We start from the raw sequence: 19,238 nt of genomic DNA on the forward strand, positions 1-19,238 counted from the left end.
ATGTTGAAGAAAATATTGTCCCATAAGTCTATTTTGTTTTTGTAAGTCTTAGTCTCTAGGAGTTCAAGGTGCTTTGGGAGAATCCTGGTGCCCTGGATGATTGACTAATGCATTAAAATCAAGTGGTGTGTTTGTATTCTGAAAGTACTCCTAAATCTATACAAACATTGCTTGGGTTGAGGTGCTCAGATGTCTCCTGCAGGCACCATGATGTTTGAAGATCATTTGTTTTGAAAGTTTCACACCAGTTTTGGTTTTCCTTCTTCATTAGCTGCTGTGCTTCCTTTTCCATTTTCTTCTTTTGTTCTACTCCTTTCTTTTCTGTCTGCTGTTTTCTGCTGCCTCCAAACTACTTCTTGCCAGACTGCATCTTCTTCCCATGCGTTGGTATTTTCTTGCCAAGTAGCTAAGTCACCTACATCAGGTGACTGATGAGTAAAAGGCATATCTTGTGTAGCTGCCAGTCTATTAACCTATTTCCTGAGATGGCAAAATGATCATTGTCTCTTCTCAATAACAATTTTCTGAGTTTTCCTTACAGTTGGTGTCACATCCTTAAAATAGTCGGTTCCAGTTGTTGTAAAGTGTTCTGTTGTACTGCCTCATTCCATTCTCACCCTCGGTCTTTACACCTGTGGGCGCATCCTCATTCTAAGAAGTCCACTCTTCAACATCTGTCTGTTTAGGAACTGATGAATAATTAACTGCAATTGGCAAAGTTACTTGGACCCCAACTTAATTTCTGTCCTTGGACAGATCTTCATACTCATCATTTTGAGGAATGAGAATATGGTTGCTAGGCAAGTATAAACTCAAAATAACTGGACCTGTGTTACGGCCATGGTGGGAATCAAAGCTTTCCAGTCTTCTCCCCACTCAGAGGCTCCAGGCTCTGCAGGTGGCTTCCTGGAGCTGGTGCTGTGCCTGTTCTGTTCCAGCACTGCTCATTCAGAGGCAGGCATGGGCTCCATCACCATTGCCAGCCATTGCACATGGGCCACTGCCGTGGTCTGCTCTTCAGGAATCTCTCCCCACAGTCCTTCCCACCTCACCCCCTACCAGTTGTATTTTTAAACATTAGAACCACACTCCGCACGATAAGGTCCTTGCACTTTTAGGAGGTACGTGGGAATGAAGACCAGATGGAGAACAGCAGATTCACATCTCCAATTTCACTACAGACTAGGAAATACACATGTTGACTAAAATGTCGAACAGAATTGATCACCATATTCCTCTCTTTTTTTTCTAAATTTAACTTGCTGAAGTTAAATGTTTATGTGATGAAATTGCACTCCATCCTCGTTTCTAGAGATATCATGAAAACCAGTAGTAAGATATTTCTGATGCACATTGTGTTTCTTAGACTAGGTTGAATACAGGCATGACGTGTTTGTTTGTTTGTTTGTTTTTGTCATTGTGGCAGATTGCTTGGTCAGAAGACAGGTCTGAGTCCCGACAATCCATTTCTGGATCCCTGCCTGCCAGTGGGACTCACAGATGTGGTGGAGAGGAACAGCCAAGTCTTACATGTCCGAGGAAGAGGAGACTGGGTGTCTTGTGGGGCAATGCTGAGCCCCCTGCTGGCTCGCTCCAACACCAGCCAGGCCTCACTCAATGGCATATATCAATCGCCTATTGACTTCAACAACAGCGAGTTCTACGGCTTCTCTGAGTTTTTTTATTGTACAGAGGATGTGTTGCGCATTGGTGGCCGCTACCATGGGCCAACATTTGCCAAGGCTGCTCAGGTAAATTATTAATGATAAACATGGCTTATGCTGGCAGCAGCCATTTATTGAATGCCTCACTCTGTGCCAGGTGCTGTGCAAAGGGCTTTGCATACAGAATCTCACTTGTTCTTTGCAGGAGCCCTTTGAACACTCATTTTACAGATGAGGAAGTGGACAGAGAACTTAAGGATCTAGCTATGCTGTACTGCCTTCTAATTAACTAAATTTATTTTCCATGGATGTCATACCACCCAAATTATTACCCAGGCATAAAATTTTTGTGTTGGCTAATGGTTTTTCTTCCAACTTTCCAATAGTCTTGTTTAATGTTTATGCCCAAGAAATGTCACCTCCAGTATTTTTCCTCTTGCTAGCTATTTTCTGTTGTAATGTGCTTTTGGAGATGATATCACCCAGAGGGGCAAGCCCATCTTTCTTTTGGGTTGAGGTATTAAGAGGCAGAGTGGTATGGGGTCCCTGGGAATATTAGATGTTGTAAAAAGCAATGATGGTGGAAGTTTGTTTAGATTTAAAATAGAGGAGTAAAAATTCACTCTGAGCATATATAGGACTTAAGCATCATATAAGTTTAAATCATTGGTACCTGGACAGATGAAAGTTTAGCCAGCTTTCTATCATTTTCTGCTTTATTTAGGGCCATCTCTTTGAATTGTTGCGTGTCTCTATCTTTTTCATCAGAGAAACGAATGGGAGAATCTGTCCTCATATTTCTTTTTTTCTTGAGATGGGGTCTCGCTCTGTAGCCCAGGCTGGAGTGCATTGGCATGATCTCAGCTCACTGCAACCTCTGCCTTCCGGGTTCAAGTGATTCTCCTGCCTCAGCCTCCCGAGTAGCTGGGATTACAGATGCCCACCACCATGCCTGGCTAATTTTTATTATTTTTAATAGAGATGGGGTTTTGCCATGTTGGCCAGGCTGGTTTGGAACTCCTGGCCTCAGGTGATCTGCCCGCCTTGGCCCCCCAAAGTGCTGAGATTACAGGCGTGAGTCACCGTACCCAGCCTCTCCTCATATTTCCCTCCCTCCCTCCCTTCCCTCCTTCTTCCCTGCCTACCTTTCTCTTTCTTTCTTACAATTCTCTAGGGTTCTCTTAGTGTAAGGCTTCCAGCAAAATAATATCTGCAGTATCTGTACTGTTCTGTTCCCAAAAGACAGTCCTTAAGAAATACTGTGGGACACCTGGTTTGTATTTGCTCCTTTCTCTCCAGCCTCCAGGACGACCTTCACGCTCCCTGTTTTTCTGGAGCCCAGAGCTCCCTAACTATCCATGGCCTGACTCTTTCTCTTATCTCAAAACTTCTTCAAATTCTATTCCCTTGAACACCAAAAGGCTCAAGTTATTGGGCTTAACATATTATCTTTTCCAGGTAAAAGCGATTTTTTTCCCTTACCTTTTTAACTTTGACTCAAACGTTATCTTCCCAGAGCCACCTTCTGGGACCACTCTATCCAAAATGACAACGCTCCCCATATTACCTGTTGCCCTTTCCTGCTTTATTTTTCCCTGAGCATTTATGTTATCCAACGTACCGTGTGTGTGTGTGTGTGTGTATGTGTGTGTGTGTGTGTGTGTGTGTGTGTGTTTATTGTCTGTCTCCTACCACTAGAATGTAAGCTTCCTGAGGACAGGAATTTTTGTCTGTTTTATTTACTGCATGATTCCCTGGCATCTAGAACAGCACCTGGCACATAGCAGACATACAAACCAAAAGGAATGATTATTTTGGTGAGAATTACAACACCGAGGGAGGCCAATGACAGGTTTCTAACCATCCTCTTCCATCTGCTCTCCCTGCTCATGTCAGTCCTATGTGGAGTAGAATGAAACTATCTTTGTCTTTTGACGTTGCTATTTGTTAGTCCTAACCTCAGCCCCTCTGAAGCCTAAGAGGCTCAGAAGCCACATCAAGCTGGCTTGGTGCTAGACATGGGATGACGGGAATAAACAGGGGTATGACGCAGTGTTTAGTGAATGAACACACCATTTCTGTTTTCCTTTGTCAGCTGGTAGCCCACAAGTAACTTTAGAAATGGAACAGCTGTGACTGTGGGGAAGGTAGAGAGTTTGCCTCCAAATTCATGTTGCACTATTTCTCTGTGGTTGATCCAGGATTACTGTGGCATGGCTTGGTCGGTACTAACTCAGAGATTCAAGAATGGCCTCTTTTCATCACATGCAGATGAGCATCGACTCAAGTAAGTTACTTCCCTTTCCTCCTTAGATGTGGACTTAAAATCTAGATGGCAGATTATAATGGAGAGTGAGCAATAATGCAGATTAGATTTCATGTTGAGGGAGCATTTGATTATTCCAGACTTGATTTTCTCAGGGATAGGGGCCAAAATAGTGAGCCTATTATAGCAAAGCCAGAAGAAATCAGTGGTTACCAAACAGAGTTCTCAACAAGTGATTTGACAACAAAAGTGATTTTTTTTTTTTTTTGAGACAGAGTCTCACTTTGTTGCCCAGGCTGGAGTGCAGTGGCATGATCTTAGCTCACTGCAACCTCCGCCTCCTGGGTTCCAGCGATTCTCCTGCCTCAGCCCCCCAAGTAGCTGGGACTATAGGCACGTGCCACCATGCCTGGCCAATTTTTGTATTTTTTTGTAGAGACGGGGTTTCGCAATGTTGCCAGGCTGGTCTTGAACTCCTGAGCTCAAGTGATCCGCCTGCCTCGCCCTCCCAGAGTGCTAGGATTACAGGTATGAGCCACCGGGCCCGGCCAAAAGTGATTTTTTTTTTAACTTTGTATTATAGATAATATCAAACATATAGAAAAGTAGAGAGAATAGCAACATAAACCCTCATGTAACTATCACACAGCTTCAACAAATAACATTTTGCCAGTATGGTTCATTGGTCCTTTCATTTTTAAATGTTTTAGTTAAAAATTGTTTAAAATTGCCGGGCATGGTGGCTCACACCTGTAATCCTAGTGCTTTGGGAGGCTGAGGTGGGTGGATCACCTGAGTTCAGGAGTTCAAGACCAGCCTGGCTAACATGGCGAAACCCTGTCTCCACTAAAAATACAAAAATTAGCAGGGTTTGGTGGCAGGTGCCTGTAATCCCAGCTACTCGGGAGGCTGAGGCAGGGAGAATTGCTTGAACCCAGGAGGTGGAGGTTGTAGTGAGCTGAGATCGCGCCACTGCACTCCAGCGTGGGTGACAGAGTGAGACTCTGTCTCAAAAAAAAACAAAAATTGTTTTAACATAAACAAAACTAGAATAGTGTAATCAACTCCTGTGTACCTGTCACCCTGCTTTCCTACTAACATTTATCAGCTCCTGGCCCATCTTGTTTTTATCTGTTTTCCCATCCACAATCCCCCTCTTACTTCAACTGGGTTGTTTTGAAGCTAATCCCAAACATCCTATAATTACATTTGTAGATATTTTAATATGCTCTCTGAAGATAGGGACTCTTAAAAAAAAGAAAAAGAAAAACACAGCCACAGTATCATTATTGCCTTTGTGGTAAACACAAGATAAGTAGGCTGACTTAGAAATAACCCACTTAGAGGTGAGGAAGGTGAAGCGGGAGGAGGTAGGTCTTTTAATAACTTGTGGGAATACGGAGTGGCTTATTGCAAAGGAAAGTATTAGAATTCTTTTCTCTTTTTTTAAAATTTAATTATTTTTGTCACACAGATATCAGTGTTTTAAATCGGCTTGGATGTACCAAGTCTTACATGAAGGATTCCACTTTCCCTATGACTACCCAAACCTGCGGACAGCCCAGCTGGTGTATGACCGAGAGGTTCAGTGGACGCTGGGAGCCATTCTATATAAAACACGATTCTTACCACTCAGGTAAAGTAAGACTGACCAATCTGGTATCTTGAGCTCAGAGGATATCAGTTGATGCCTCAGAATCGGTTTCTTTCTTTTTTTTTTTAACCAGCTTAGAATAGGTCTTAAGTGACCTTCCTCTCTACCCCCTCACAAAAACAAACTCCTTTACTTCCATGTGAGCCACTGTTACTACCAGGCATGCTCGAACAGAAAGAAGGTTGAGCATTACTGGTCTGGAGTCTCAGCTTTGCTGTTTCAGAAATCCAGCTTTATTTGTTTACTCACAACAAACCAGTCTTTAGGACTGAGCTCTTACTAATCACTTCCAAGATACTGACAAGCTAAAATGTCATTCTTGGGTTACCCTGGAAAACACATCTGACTAAAGAACAGGGGTAGGATGTCTAGAGCAATCTTTCATAACATACAGAGGCACTCCAGACATTGTGTCATTGACTTAGAAGGCTTTTTGGTGGGTCAGAATTAGAATAAAGGACGTGAGATGTTTTTAGTGGGGCTACTTTCATCAAACTCTGGTAGCCTGATACCTTACTTTTATGTACTGTCAGATATTTGGGACAATTTTTAGGTACCTGTACCCTGGACTATTTCAGATAAACTCAGATGAATTTTGTATCTTTGATGTCTGTTCCTCTAAACTCAATACCGTCAGCAGCCAGGCAGGCGACAGAAGTGAGGGAAGTGGGCTAGGTGGGGGTTGCCCACAACTGGAGCATGTATCCCAGTTAATGGGCTGGTTACTGTCACACACAAGCACTGTCCCAGCATTTGCCAGTTCTCATCTGTCCAGAAAAGTCAGAAATCCATATTTTTTATGAAGTCTTTCAGTTTAGAGATTCGCATTCTAGAAGAACACTGCAGGTCAAACCAGACAAAACTAGATCTGGATCTGGACTGCTGAAGAGTGGCTTCTGTTCTAGCCAGGTGGACCATTACACTTGGTTTTCATATCGCCTTATTTTTATCTGACTGTAATACAGTTGATCAGGTAACAGCTTTATTTAGATATATCCTAGATCCTAAGGAAACATAGTACCTTTATTTTTTATTATTTTTTTGAGACAGGGTCTTGCTCTGTTGCCCAGGCTGAGTGTGGTGGCAGTGCCGTGTTCATAGCTCACTGCAACCTTGAACTCCTGGGCTCAAGTGATTCTCCTGCCTCAGCCTTCTGAGTAGCTGGGAATACAGGTGCTCGCCACCATGCCCAGCTAATTTTTTGATTTTTCTTTTGCAGAGATGGGGTCTTGTTATGTTGACCAGGCTGGTTTTGAACTCCTGGCTTCAAGCAATTCTCCTGGCCTGGCCTCCCAAAGTGCTTTGATTACAAGCATGTGCCACTGCACTTGGCTGCATAGCAACTTTAAAAAAAGGATTTAGACACACACACTCTGATTTCTTTATTGGATTCAGGGGATACCCTATTCTCATTAGTACTGTATTTATAAGCCATATTTTAAGACTTATGTTACAGGTGATCAATCTAGCCTTTCTGTTCATTTTTTGGGATTCAATTTCAAAGGCCTTCCCATCTTGGCTTAGATTCTGGAGGGTGTAAGCCTGGAGGTCCCTTCTGGGGGCCGTGGGAAGGAAGACACAGAAGGGCTCCTGGGGCGGGGGATGTTCTTCAGCTTTGCCTGCTCTGTGGAGCTGGTGTCATAAAATGTTTATGTGGATGGAATAAATGTGATAACACTACTGGGCCTTTCAAATCAGTAAATGTCTCCCTTTGAAACTTAACAGTTTTTTCCACCTACAAATTCTTAATTCTTCCCTAGGGATCTTCGGCAGGAAGGTGTCCGACAAGCCCATGGTAGCTGGTTCCGTCTCTCCTTTGTATACAACCACTATCTCTTCTTTGCCTGTATCCTGGTGGTGCTACTGGCCATCTTCCTATACCTTCTGCGGCTACGCCGAATTCACCACCGACAAACACGAGCCTCAGCTCCATTGGACTTGCTGTGGCTTGAAGAGGTGGTGCCCATGATGGGAGTACAGGTGGGGCCGTGAGGCTGGACCAGGACTAGAGAAGCTTGAGCACCCCCGAGTTGCTGCTCATTGAATTCCTCCACTTTCTTATATAGCCTCAGATGCTGTGATGTCTGACCTTGTGGATATTTGCCCTTGGAATTTCTACTTTACTTTCTACCGTAATTCCTTCTCCGTACCCAGGTCTTCTCTGAGAGAAGCTATAATTTAATCTGTGAGGAACTAAATGACAGGAGATTGGTGCTAATACGGGGGACCAAGCTTTGTCCAAGTGAAGCAGGCTTCGACTCCTTCTGAGAGGTCTGGTGTGTTCCTAGAATCTCACCTTTTCTTCCCTTGCTAAAGCATGAAGTTTGGCATTTGGCACACTGGAAGCCTGGTTGAAATGAAATTTGTAGCATCTGATACAAAGCCAGAGACATTCTAGCAAGTGCAGCAGCCCCTTCTTTCTCTGTAACAGAGATATCATTTATGTGGAGATCCACAACCTTTAACAGGGATCCAAGATCTTTGCAGTTCAATCGACCACATAGGAATTTCCAGGCACCAAAATGATATAACTTCCTTGCTTCCTTGACAAAGAAGCCATCATGGGTGTGATCCAAGATCCCTGTCGTAGTGTTGATGATGTTAGTACATGATTTTAAAGGTTAGAACCCCTTCTAAATGAATGGTCTGTGGAAGATTTTAGTATCTTATCTGATGCCTGGTATGATGAGGATAGAAAATTTTTCCATTTTTATGTGCCTCACAGGCTGTTTGGGCATTAATTTTGCTTTTTGAGCCTTAAGTGTGTTAGTAGGATGGAGAAACTGTGATGGGGACTGGGAACCTGGATTTGTCTGATTTTAGGTCACTGTTCCCTGGGCCTGTTTTTGTGAGCCCTTACACAGGAAGATATAAAGAGAGTTCTTTCATTTCACTGCTAAAATCAGTATGTAGTATGGGGAATGTATTTGGGTTGTTTTTAAAGAAAAGGGGAACAGAATCAGGAGAGTGGGCAAAGGCAATAAAATCAAAGTTCTTATTAATTATTTCTGAGAAATAGAAGTTTCTCAATTTATGACTCTTGGAATGTCTGAAAGGGAGCAAATTTGGAATAGATCAATCTGTTAATAAGCCATCTGGCAACTTTCAGAACCTCTATTAAGAGACTGCTGAGTCACAAACAGCACTTCCATTAATGAAGCGAGAGGAAAAGCCATAATAATTACATCTTCACCCACTACCCTTCCAGAGCTTTGCTTCTCCTCCACATTTAGCCATTAAATTGCATGAGGATTTCTCTTCATCAGGGTCCGCATGGAATCTTTCTTATATTTTACCCTTTCCTACATGTAGCCTTGAATGTCCTTTCCACGAATATGCTCCCACGGCTGGGAGCATTTTCTTTTCTTTTCGTCACCTTTGATTTTTGGGATTAGATTAATAGGGGAAAAAGTCCCTGGCTTTAAAGAAAACAAAAGTAGAATTCTTCAAAAATAAATTTCATACTGGGAACAGAAAGGAACTAAATGCTTCATAAAACAGGGAAAAAGAAATTAAGATCATCCTAGAAATAAACTAAGATAAAAATAAGTATACTGACCCTTGGTTGGTAGATAAAAAGATGACCAGTCTTGTATTGTTTTAAAATTAGATAAACATGGATTAAGCATGCAAAGACTCTGTTCCTTTTTTTTTTTCTTGGAGACAGGGCCTCACGCTGTCACCCAGGCTGGAGTGCAGTTGTGCAACATCATGGCTCACCGCAGCCTCAACCTCCTGGGCTCAAACAGTCCTCCCAACTCAGACTCCAGAGTAGCTGGGACTACAGGTGTGCGCCACCACACTCAGCTAATTTTTTATTTTATTTTTTTAGAGATGGAGTCTGTGTTGTCCAGGCTGGTCTCAAACTCTTGGGCTCAAGCAATCCTCCCACCTCAGCCTCCCAAAGTGCTGGGATTACAAGCATGAGCTACTGCACCTGCCCTCTGTTTCCTTTGGAAATCTCTTACCTTTCATTAGGGTTTCTTTCATAGCAATTTCCTTTGGTTTTTAAGACTTCTACATTGCTTTTTCTTTTATTATCTGTGCTCCGTGAACCTTATGAATGCTGCTTAAAAATAATGTCAAAATATGTTTTAGCTGCCTACTCAGGTAACGTTTTCTTTTGCTCTCATCTTGGTTTCCATATACTATTTTTGGTTTTTTGTGAGATCTAATCAATGATCTAGTCAGAAGCTACTTCACTGGCTAACAGTGATCATGTTCATGTGCTAAAAATGAACTTGAAACACGGAAGTAGTGGTTGGTCCAGTTTGAAAGCTCTTATTAGTATTCTTCATCCTGGCTGTAATAATAGCCATTATTTGTTATGCCTTTGTTATGTAGCAGACACTCTTAAGGATTTTATGTGTATTATTCAAATTGCTATTACTGTTCTTTTTATAGTTGAGAATCTCAGGATACCTACATTTATCACTTTTTCAATATATATGTATTTCTTATTCTTATTTTGTCTTGGAGTGTTTAATGTGTTATTTCCTGTTCATTACTTTAATATTATGGTATCTAGGCTTGTCTTTATTACCATGAGCAAGGTCTCCAGGAGTTCCACAGTACTGAAGGAAAATTTTGTCATATCCCTCAGAAGAACTGAATATTTATTATTGGTATGGGCTCCTTTGTTTATTCTCTTCTCCCAATTAATAGATTTTAAATGAAATCTTATTAGCTAGAAACAAAAGCCACTTACTCCTTGCTGAGAGCCAATTACTTAAATATATTTCTTCCTTATAATAAAATAATTTGCTTCTAGGAGCAGAAATCTATCTTGCCATACCCTTTGGTTTTTAAAGATTTCTCTTCTATTTGCATTTCTGCACTTTGGTGGTTCTCCCATGAAGATAATTATGGTGTCATAAAATTCACATTCCACTGGTTCCTTTGAATCTTACCAACCACTCTTGTTAACAGAGACAATGAACCTGAACTGTTTTAGGACTCTTGTTATTACTGAGACAGGTCACAAACATCAAAATAGGAGTCCGTGGCTTGTAGTGATGCTTTTTAGTCTTGTGATAGCACAATCCATCACTTTCCCCAAAATTCTTGTCATAGAACATAATGAAAAATATGTAAAATACCCATTTATGTGGCATTTCATTCACTTAAGTTGCAGTTAACTCTAAGCCAAATTATACCATTTTTTCTCTCTGTACTTTAGCTCCTTGAATTTCCTTAATCTGGGAAACTTTTGTTCCCACACCAAGGAACAAATTCAGGGGGTACAAGTGCAGGTTTGTTACATGAGTATATTGAGTGATGCTGAGGTTTGGGGTACAGATCCCATCACCAGGTGGTGAGCATAGTACCTAACAGATAGTTCTTTAATCCATGCCCTCCTCTCTCCCTCCCTGCTCTAGTAGTCCACAGTGTCTATTCTGGTCTGGGAAATTTTCATCACTTTCCACCAATCTTCTATTTATTCTCCAAATGTCTTCCAAAGTATCCTGCCCCACCCCCTCCTCATCCTAAGAGATTCCTTTAACTTCAAGATCATATCCAGTGATTGCTGAAAAATGTCTGCCATGCACTTGCTAAGCTAGTGTTTTTAGGCATTAACATTTATTATCACATCCATATTTATATTTTTGAAATAATTTATACTTCTCACTGATATCATCTAAACAGATGCTTCTCACAGTTTTATGTTTTGTTTTTTGTCAGGGATGAAAGACAAGTGAGTGGTATCACTTAAGGGAAAGAACAGTAGGCTTAACGAATAGCAGACCTGGATTCTAGTTCTGGCTTTGTCATTTACTAGCTCTGGTACCCCAGGCCAGTCACTTACCATCTCTGGTTCGGTTCTCATCTATCAAACAAAGAGGCTAGACAAGATTAGAAACTAAAGGCAGAAGACAAGGTAGAAAAATCATATGATTTTGGGAAGAGCATTTTGTCCTTTGGTTTAGAAGACCAGGCTGCCCAAAAGAGCCTCCTATTTTATCCATAACCCCTGATGATAAGGTTGGTGGGAACAGAGTTTCTAATAGTAATCATAATAAATTTCAGAAGAGTTTTAAAGCTTCTGGTCAACCCCCTTGATTTATATGGGTGATAAAACTGAGGCCTAGAGCAGTTGTAATATGTGCAAAGTCATAGTGACTGGCCTCCTAGCCCAACTACTTTGTCAGCTACAATGAAATGCTCATTAACAGAATCTTTCTGCAAGTATAAACAGAATCTATTTTTTATAAAACAGCTGGCCACAACTAACCATGCCCCATCTTTACAACTGCTTCTGACATTCATTTATGACTGCTTTGCTCACATTTAGGAATAAACTTTGAAAAAAATACTTTGTCAGAAATAGTGCCAAGTTTTCACTACATCTATTCTTGTTCCTGTATTTCTTTTCGTACTTTTAAATTTTATACATCTTTTTAAAACAATTTTATACAATTTCCTTTACTACAACATCCAAGCAATTCATTAGATGACTACAGCCTAGATGAAGGTATAAATGCCTATTACATCTACCTCATTAAAGAACTTCGTTGTAATTCTTGGGCAGTTTCCAGACTCTGTTACAGAAACAGAGGGCTGTTTCTTTTTGTTGTCTTTAAACTTTTCAAATTAATTCAAAACTAGTATCTAATTGTCCTTTTTGCTGTGGTATGTGGTGTAATGTTGATTGGGAATAAGAATTATGGTAGAAATAGCAGATGTTTCAAATTCTCCCATATTAGTCTCTTAGGGACGCTAGCTCCAGATTCCAGCCCCTGGGGCAATAACTTGTGAGGATTTTCCTGGTGTTACAAAAAATATTGCTGTTAAAAAACTAAGACTCAAAACCAAAAGTTGTGATTAATAATAACAGGATTATTAGTCAATAATATTTTGATTAATACTATAGAATAGCAACAGTGAATATACCTCAAATTGAAAACTTTTAGGTTGTGTTCTTGGCTCATTCTCTCATAACCTGGATCTAAGTTGGAAAGCTGTGGCACCCTGTTTGGGTGTCCCATCTACCCTGTTTTCTGTTTCTGCAGATGGCTTGTTCAAGCTTCATTTTAAGCCTGCTCTGTCTACTTATCTTCCTTATATCCTAATAGACTTCTCTTGTGTTATTACACATTTCTCTTTTGCTCTAATATTTCATTATTTTCCAGTTTGTCAGTACCGTTATCAGAGGGACGAGGAAGGAATAACACACCAGTTGACCATTTTGTTTCTCTGAAAATCTGAGCAATACGGAGATCCTTTTATTAGTAAAACTGAATCATTACTCATACTACAAGGGCTTTCACTTTTAAAATGTAATCCATCATTGCTTGCCATTTTTATGAAAACCAAAGTTGAAAAGTCTTCTGAATCACAGGCTATGTATAGCCACACATGCATGACTTCAGGCTAGCATAAAGACATGTCTGCTCCTGAGCCTCTTCTTTTAAAGGGCAACCACTTGTATACCCTCTGGTGGCCACTCCTCCTTCTCCACTCCAAGGCAGCCCTGGTACTTTCCTAAGTGGCCCCTCCTACAGAGCACTTGCCGGCATTTGGCCTGCTGCTGGTGAAGACGCCCCTTACTAGCTTCATAAATGTTTTTCTGCAAGCAGGGATCCCAGACACATACTTTGGTTTCTAGTGTTTCAGTTACTATGTTGTATTTGAAATTCTCATTCCACAATTACCCTTTAGTTGAAGTCCTGAAGTACATGCCATGTACTCCCCCTTTATTTCTACCTTGATCAATGGCCTCTGCGGAGTGTAGTGAAAGACATCTTTTTATTATGATCTACACTTTAAAAAACCAAAGGCTGCCTGTATTACATTGCTTTGGGGAGTTGTTAAGACTCTGTTTTTTCTACTGCTTCACATTAAACAATAATTTTGTTGAATTTTGAATTCTTAAAATTCTCACTGACAAACATTTTAGGTCAGTGTTGAGGAAAATGTGTGATGCATGTTAGAGAGGTGATGCATTCTCCCTTATGCAGGGACATGGGTATATGTGTTACATATGCTGATATATAACCCACCATTCATCCCAGGACCACAAGGGTAGCTGTAGATAAACTGGTTATCCTAAAATCATGATTATCAGTGTTGATCTCTGCAACCAACATTGCTTTAGGGAGTTGCTAGTCATTACCCCTGCTACAATAGATAGTATTTGTCAGTCTAAGTTACAGACAAAAAATTCTAGGTTGACTGATTAAGAAAGCCATGTGTTTTAATTTCCTTCATGTTTTAAAAACAATGGACGTAAGTGCAGAGAGACCTTTGAAAATATTAAGGGAAATCTATTTAATCCTATAGGTATGTGATGACTTGTTTTTTTGGAAAAAGGTATTTGGAACATCAATCTGTAATTATCCATTTTCCATTCATGCATTCACTAATTCAATATTTGATATGTGTCTGGGAGTGCTGGGAATAACATAAATACAAAAAAAACCCTAAGATAATCATTCACCAGAAGCTCATAGATATAATACAGTTATATAGCTAAATGCAACCAGTTGTTTTTCCAAATGTACTCATCATCTGTAATAAAAGAAAAATGAAGTAAAACATCTGAAACCTTAACTTACTCATGAGTTGCTACTTCCTTGGAGGCAACTGTAGAAGCATTAATATATGGTTCTTTGGGTTGGGTCATACTGCCCTCTGCTGACTCAGTTACTAACTAAGGACAACCTGGGTTTGAGGATCAGGAGAGGATGGTGTGGGAACCTGCCTCAGGAACTACAGTTCCCTTTCTTTGAAGGATTCTATCCAGAAGAGACCATATCCTACTAACATACTAATAGGAGCAACATAGCAGATCAAATGATAAGGTGGGGTGGAAATTAGAAGGGAATGGGAATAAGCTAGTCAGAACTTTCTAAGGTAACTAGGCTATTAGGACCTAAGCCAGTGGTCCCTAGACTTGTCTGCACATTGGAATCACCTGGGGAACTTTAAAAATATGCCTTTTACTTCCTCCAGGGATTGTGACTTAATTGGTCTTAGATGAGGCTTGGGCTTTGGGATTTTTCTAAGATTCAAATAAGAGAGAAGTTGGGAATCTCTTCTAGGCAATAGCATAAGCCCAGCCAGGGTCCAGCATTTATGAAAAATTGACAAACTGTTTTGCTAAGAATCACCTGTGTTAGTCGGCTTGCATTGCTATAAGGAAATACTGACAATTTTTAGAAAGAAAAGAGGTTTATTTGGCTCACTGTTCTGCATAGAACTGTATAGGAAGCATGGCGCTGGCATCTGCTTCTGGTGAGGGCCTCACGAAGCTTACAATCATGGCAGAAGGTGAAGGGGAGCCAGTGTGTCACATGGTGAGAGAGAGCAAGCGAGAGAGGAGGAAGTTCCAGGCTCTTTTAAACAACCAGCTCTTGCATAAACAACCAGAGTGAGAACTCACTCATTACTATGGGGATGGCACAAAGTCATACATAAGGGATCCGCCCCCATGACCCAAATACCTCCTACTAGGCCCACCTCTAACACTGAATGTCACACTTTGAACATGAGATTTGGAGGGGACAAAACATCCAAACCATATCACCACCTGAGAATGGTACACTACAGGTCACAGAAACTTACAGAGTACTGGAGTTGAAAGAGAACTGAGATCACCTAGTTCAGAGACTAACGGGAAACGTTAGGTCATTTATGGCTCTCAGACACGTTAAGCCTGCATAACATTTTTTAAAATCTTGAAATTAGTTCCCAACACTTAATTGAGAGCTTTCACAGAAAAATCTAGATATGTGGCTTATTTTTAAAAAACAGAAGATTTGCTGACTTAAACACTGCAAAATTAAACATTTATATCTGAATCCAGCATCTCTTTTTGCTTTGTAAATGAGGTCAAGGATGAAATCCAGATGTTCTTCCTTTGTATTTGTATTGTCACTGTATGGAATCTAGGTATATCCAAGGAAAAATAAACTTAAGATAAGCTTATTTTCCTTATTTCAAAAAGCAAAACAAAAACCCAGAAGATCTAACAACCCTGGACCTGTAGAGTGGCAGCAACAGACCAGAACTCAGCAGTATAGTCCGAGCTGGGGCACCTGCTCGCCAGTGTTACTGTCTCCATCAGCCTGACCCCAGTGAGCATTTGATTTGGTCTACCCTACTCTTGCCTTCTACAGAACTAAAACTAACTTCCTGCAACTTTCATCCATTGCTGCCAGCTCTGCAGCATAATGGAAGCTCATTCCCTCTTCTGCATGAGACGGCTTCAACTTCTCAAGGACAGGAATCTTGCTCTCTCTCCAGATGTTCTCTGCTCCAGTTAAATATCCCTAGTTCCTTCACCTATTCCCTGTGTGACAGGGGTTCTGGACTCATCATTCTGATCTCTTCTTCTGGATACACACTTAGTGGCCATCAATATCTTGCTTAAATTTGGTACCCAGAGTGAAATGCAGTATGTTAGGGGTATTTTGACTATGGCTGTGACACTTCTACTGATAAAACCTGAAGTACCACTAATTTTTCTGTTATCATATAATAACAACATGAATACTACTTGGTTCATATTGAACCTGAGGACAACTAAAATCCCGTCTTTTTTATATGAAATGATATAAGGCCAGGTTTCTTCAGCCCAAACTTATACAACTTATTTAATTTAAATGAGTATGTTACATTTCTAATCTGTTTAATTTCATCTCGATGGGGTCATTCTGGGACTGTTTTCAGTTGCCACTGTCATCTATTATATTAGCAATATTGGGTTGCTCCATCCTCAAATCAGATGTTTCTGATGCCTTCATCCAAATCACTGATTTTAAAAGTAAAGTTGAATAAGACAGGGCCCTATGAAATATCAATAGAGACCAAAATCACATTAATTCAGCAGTCAACAATTTGTTTATCTGGGTAGATGTCCATGCACTACACCATCAAGGCCATATTTTTCTTATTACAAAGCTGTTAGGAAACCCTCTCAGGAACCAATTTATACTGTCGATTCCATTCCTCTCTCTGACCTTGTAATGTTAACAGCCTTATCAAAAGAGGAACTAGCTGGGCGTGGTGGCCCATGCCTGTAATCTCAGCACTTTGGGAAGCCGAGATGGGCGGATTACCTGAGGTCAGGAGTTCAAGACCAGCCCGGCCAATGTGGTGAAACCCCTTCTCTACTAAAAATACAAAATTAGCCAGGCATGGTGACTTGTGCCTGTAGTCCCAGCTACTCGGGAGGCTGAGGCATGAGAATCGCTTGAACCTGGGAAGTGGAGGTTGCAGAGTGAGCTGAGATCACGCCATTGTACTCCAGCCTGGGCAACAAGAGTGAAACTCTGTCTCAAAAAAAAAAAAAAAAATGGAACTATTTGGCGATTACCTCCTTTTCCAAGTACTTAAAAACCATTTTGCTACATATACACATTAAGCTTGTCAAAATCTGCAATTTCCCCATTTCTGAAAATCAGGATATTAGAAGACATTAGCTTTTTTTTTTTTGCTGAAGACCAGCTGGCTACTTTGGGTATGTCAATCCTATCCTTTCAATCTTCACCTAATGGAAGTGAAGTTAAGATCATAAAGAAATTCTATTTAGGCAGAATTAAGGACTCAGGAGAACATCCACGTAGAAATCATCCACGTAGAACCAAGAGCTTGCCAACACTGAAAAACCTGACACAAAGCCTGTTAAGCAGCAAATGGCAGACATTTCTTTCTCTACATTAAAACTGATTTTCAACATGAAAAGCAGATTTAAAAGGGAACATTTAGGGTAACCACACTTAATGCATTCTTGATCCAGTGACTATCTCAAAACAGGAAAAGATTTTTAAGTAAGTTGACCATTTGGAAACCACTTGGTATGTCAAGGTCATCTCGTAGAAAAGCCCAAGTTCTTATGATCTCTGAAGAGCTCTCAAAAGCAGTCACAGTCCCAGGAGGCTGGTCCTCTAAGAATCATTTTGGGACTCTTCGGAGTTCATTCATCAGCCAAAGAGCACCAGTGAGCAAAGCCAAGGAGCCTGACTGGTGAGTGGCGGCCAGAGGAGTTGGGACATACATCAGCAGCGTGCTGATGCCCAAGCCCACCTGTCACAAAGGAAAGAAGGCAATAGGAAAGGCAGTAACCCAAAGTTCACATTGAAAATGGCCAGGCGTGGATAACCACACACAAACCTCCACATCCTCCTATCAGAGCACTTAAAATACACACATTTTTAATTTCACAAGCAAATATGCTTACAATGAAAGAAATTCGAACAAAATTGATAAACCTAAAATTCCCCTTATTCTTCAATCCATCCCAGTTCCCCAGAGTAGTCACTGTTACCAGTTTCTGCATACTTGTACTTTAGTATGTTTATAGAGAAATAAATATATAGTTTTGTGCTTTTAAAAAACATATTGTTCTGTCACTTGCTTTTTTTCACTTAGCAATATACACTATGTATTGAGATCTTATTAAACTGCTGTGCAGTATCGCACAGTATGGATATACCATAGTTTTTTTTGTTTTGTTTTGTTTTGAGACAGAGTTTCACTCTGTCTGCCAGGCTGGAGTGCAATGGCATGATCTTGGCTCACTGCAACCTCCACTTCCAGGGCTCAAGCAATTCTCCTGCCTCAGCCTCCCAAGTAGCTGGGATTACAGGCGTGTGCCACCCCGCCTGGCTAATTTTTGTATTTTTTAGTAGAGACAGAGTTTCATCATGTTGGCCAGGCTGGTCTTGAACTCCTGACCTCAGGTAATCCGCCCACCTCGGCCTCCCAAAGTGCTGGGATTACAGGCGTGAGCCACTGTGCCCGGCCCATAGTTTTTTAACTATTTAGGTTGTTTCCAATTTTTCACTATCACAATTCTATGATGAATTTTCTCATACAAAAGGTCTTTGTTGCATTGGACTGTTTCTAGGACTGACACTAATAAGTTCATTTGCTGGGCCAAAGAATTACCCATTTAACTTTTAAAAGATATTGCCAGCCTGGGTGACAGAGTGAGACTCCATCTCTAAAAAAAAAAAAAAAAGATATTGCCAAATTGCCTTCTGGAAAAAACTGTACTGACTCATGCTCTCACCAGGAATATTTGAAAGTATCCATTTTCCTATGCCCATGGCAATACCTGATTATCTTTTTTTTCACTTTTTTCCAATTTGATAGGCACAAAATGGTACTTATTTTTTAAATTTGCTCCTCTCTGATTATAAGTGAAGCTGAACAGCTTTTCATGTTTACTGGCCATTAATCATTGTTTTTGTGGTAATTGTGTATTGATGTCCTTTACTTATTTTCCGGTTATTAATCTTTTAATTTATTATAAATATGGAAAATATTTTCTCCTAGTCTGTCACCTTTCCTTTTTTTTTTTTTTTTTTTTAAACAGACAGGGTCTCACTCTGTTGTCTAGGCTGGGGTGCAGCGGTGCGATCTTGACTCACTGCAGCCTCAACCTCCCTGGCTCAGGTGATCCTCCCATCTCAGCCTCCCAAGTAGTTTGGACTACAGGCACACACCAACATGCCCATCTAATTTTTGTATTTTTTTTGTAGAGATGGGGTTTTGCCATGTTGCCCAGGCTAGTCTTGAATTCCTGGCTCAAGTGATCTGCCCACCTAGGCCTCCCAAAGTGCTGGGATTACAGCCATGAGCCACTGTGCCCGGCCCCTTTTTTAACTTTGTATTGGGGATACTGTCAGAACAAAAAGAAGTGGTTTAT

General features: G+C 40.7%; 2 protein-coding genes and 1 pseudogene across 15 annotated transcripts in view; 1 reads left to right on the forward strand and 2 right to left on the reverse strand.

Moving 5' to 3' along the window:
- The window catches only part of ENTPD7 (ectonucleoside triphosphate diphosphohydrolase 7), a 51,733-nt gene extending 37,599 nt beyond the window's left edge, over nucleotides 1-14,134 (forward strand). For all 3 annotated transcript variants that reach the window (NM_001349962.2, NM_020354.5, NM_001349963.2), the window contains 4 exons: nucleotides 1,427-1,751; nucleotides 3,866-3,951; nucleotides 5,405-5,566; nucleotides 7,345-14,134. In NM_001349962.2, coding sequence (NP_001336891.1) covers nucleotides 1,427-1,751; nucleotides 3,866-3,951; nucleotides 5,405-5,566; nucleotides 7,345-7,576 — 805 coding nt within the window. In that variant the 3' untranslated portion in view covers nucleotides 7,577-14,134. The remainder of the gene's footprint in view (nucleotides 1-1,426; nucleotides 1,752-3,865; nucleotides 3,952-5,404; nucleotides 5,567-7,344) is intronic.
- Nucleotides 1-19,238, reverse strand: part of COX15 (cytochrome c oxidase assembly factor COX15) — a 37,835-nt gene that overhangs the window by 2,815 nt on the left and 15,782 nt on the right. For 7 of the 12 annotated variants that reach the window (NR_164009.1, NM_001320976.2, NM_001372026.1 and 4 more), the window contains one exon: nucleotides 13,761-17,611. The exons of 2 other annotated variants lie outside the window; for them this stretch is intronic. Coding sequence is in view for 7 of the 10 variants with exons in the window: in NM_001320976.2 (NP_001307905.1) it covers nucleotides 17,480-17,611 (132 nt within the window). In the remaining 3 variants the exon portion in view is untranslated. Of the gene's footprint in view, nucleotides 1-13,760; nucleotides 17,612-19,238 lie in introns of those variants that run through there. 3 more of the 12 variants (NM_001372028.1, NM_001372024.1, NM_004376.7) reach the window with 2 other exon arrangements.
- Nucleotides 232-842, reverse strand: EBAG9P1 (EBAG9 pseudogene 1; annotated as a pseudogene).

The sequence above is a fragment of the Homo sapiens genome, chromosome 10, assembly GCF_000001405.40.
Source record: "Homo sapiens chromosome 10, GRCh38.p14 Primary Assembly".
Classification (NCBI taxonomy): Eukaryota; Metazoa; Chordata; class Mammalia; order Primates; family Hominidae; genus Homo; species Homo sapiens.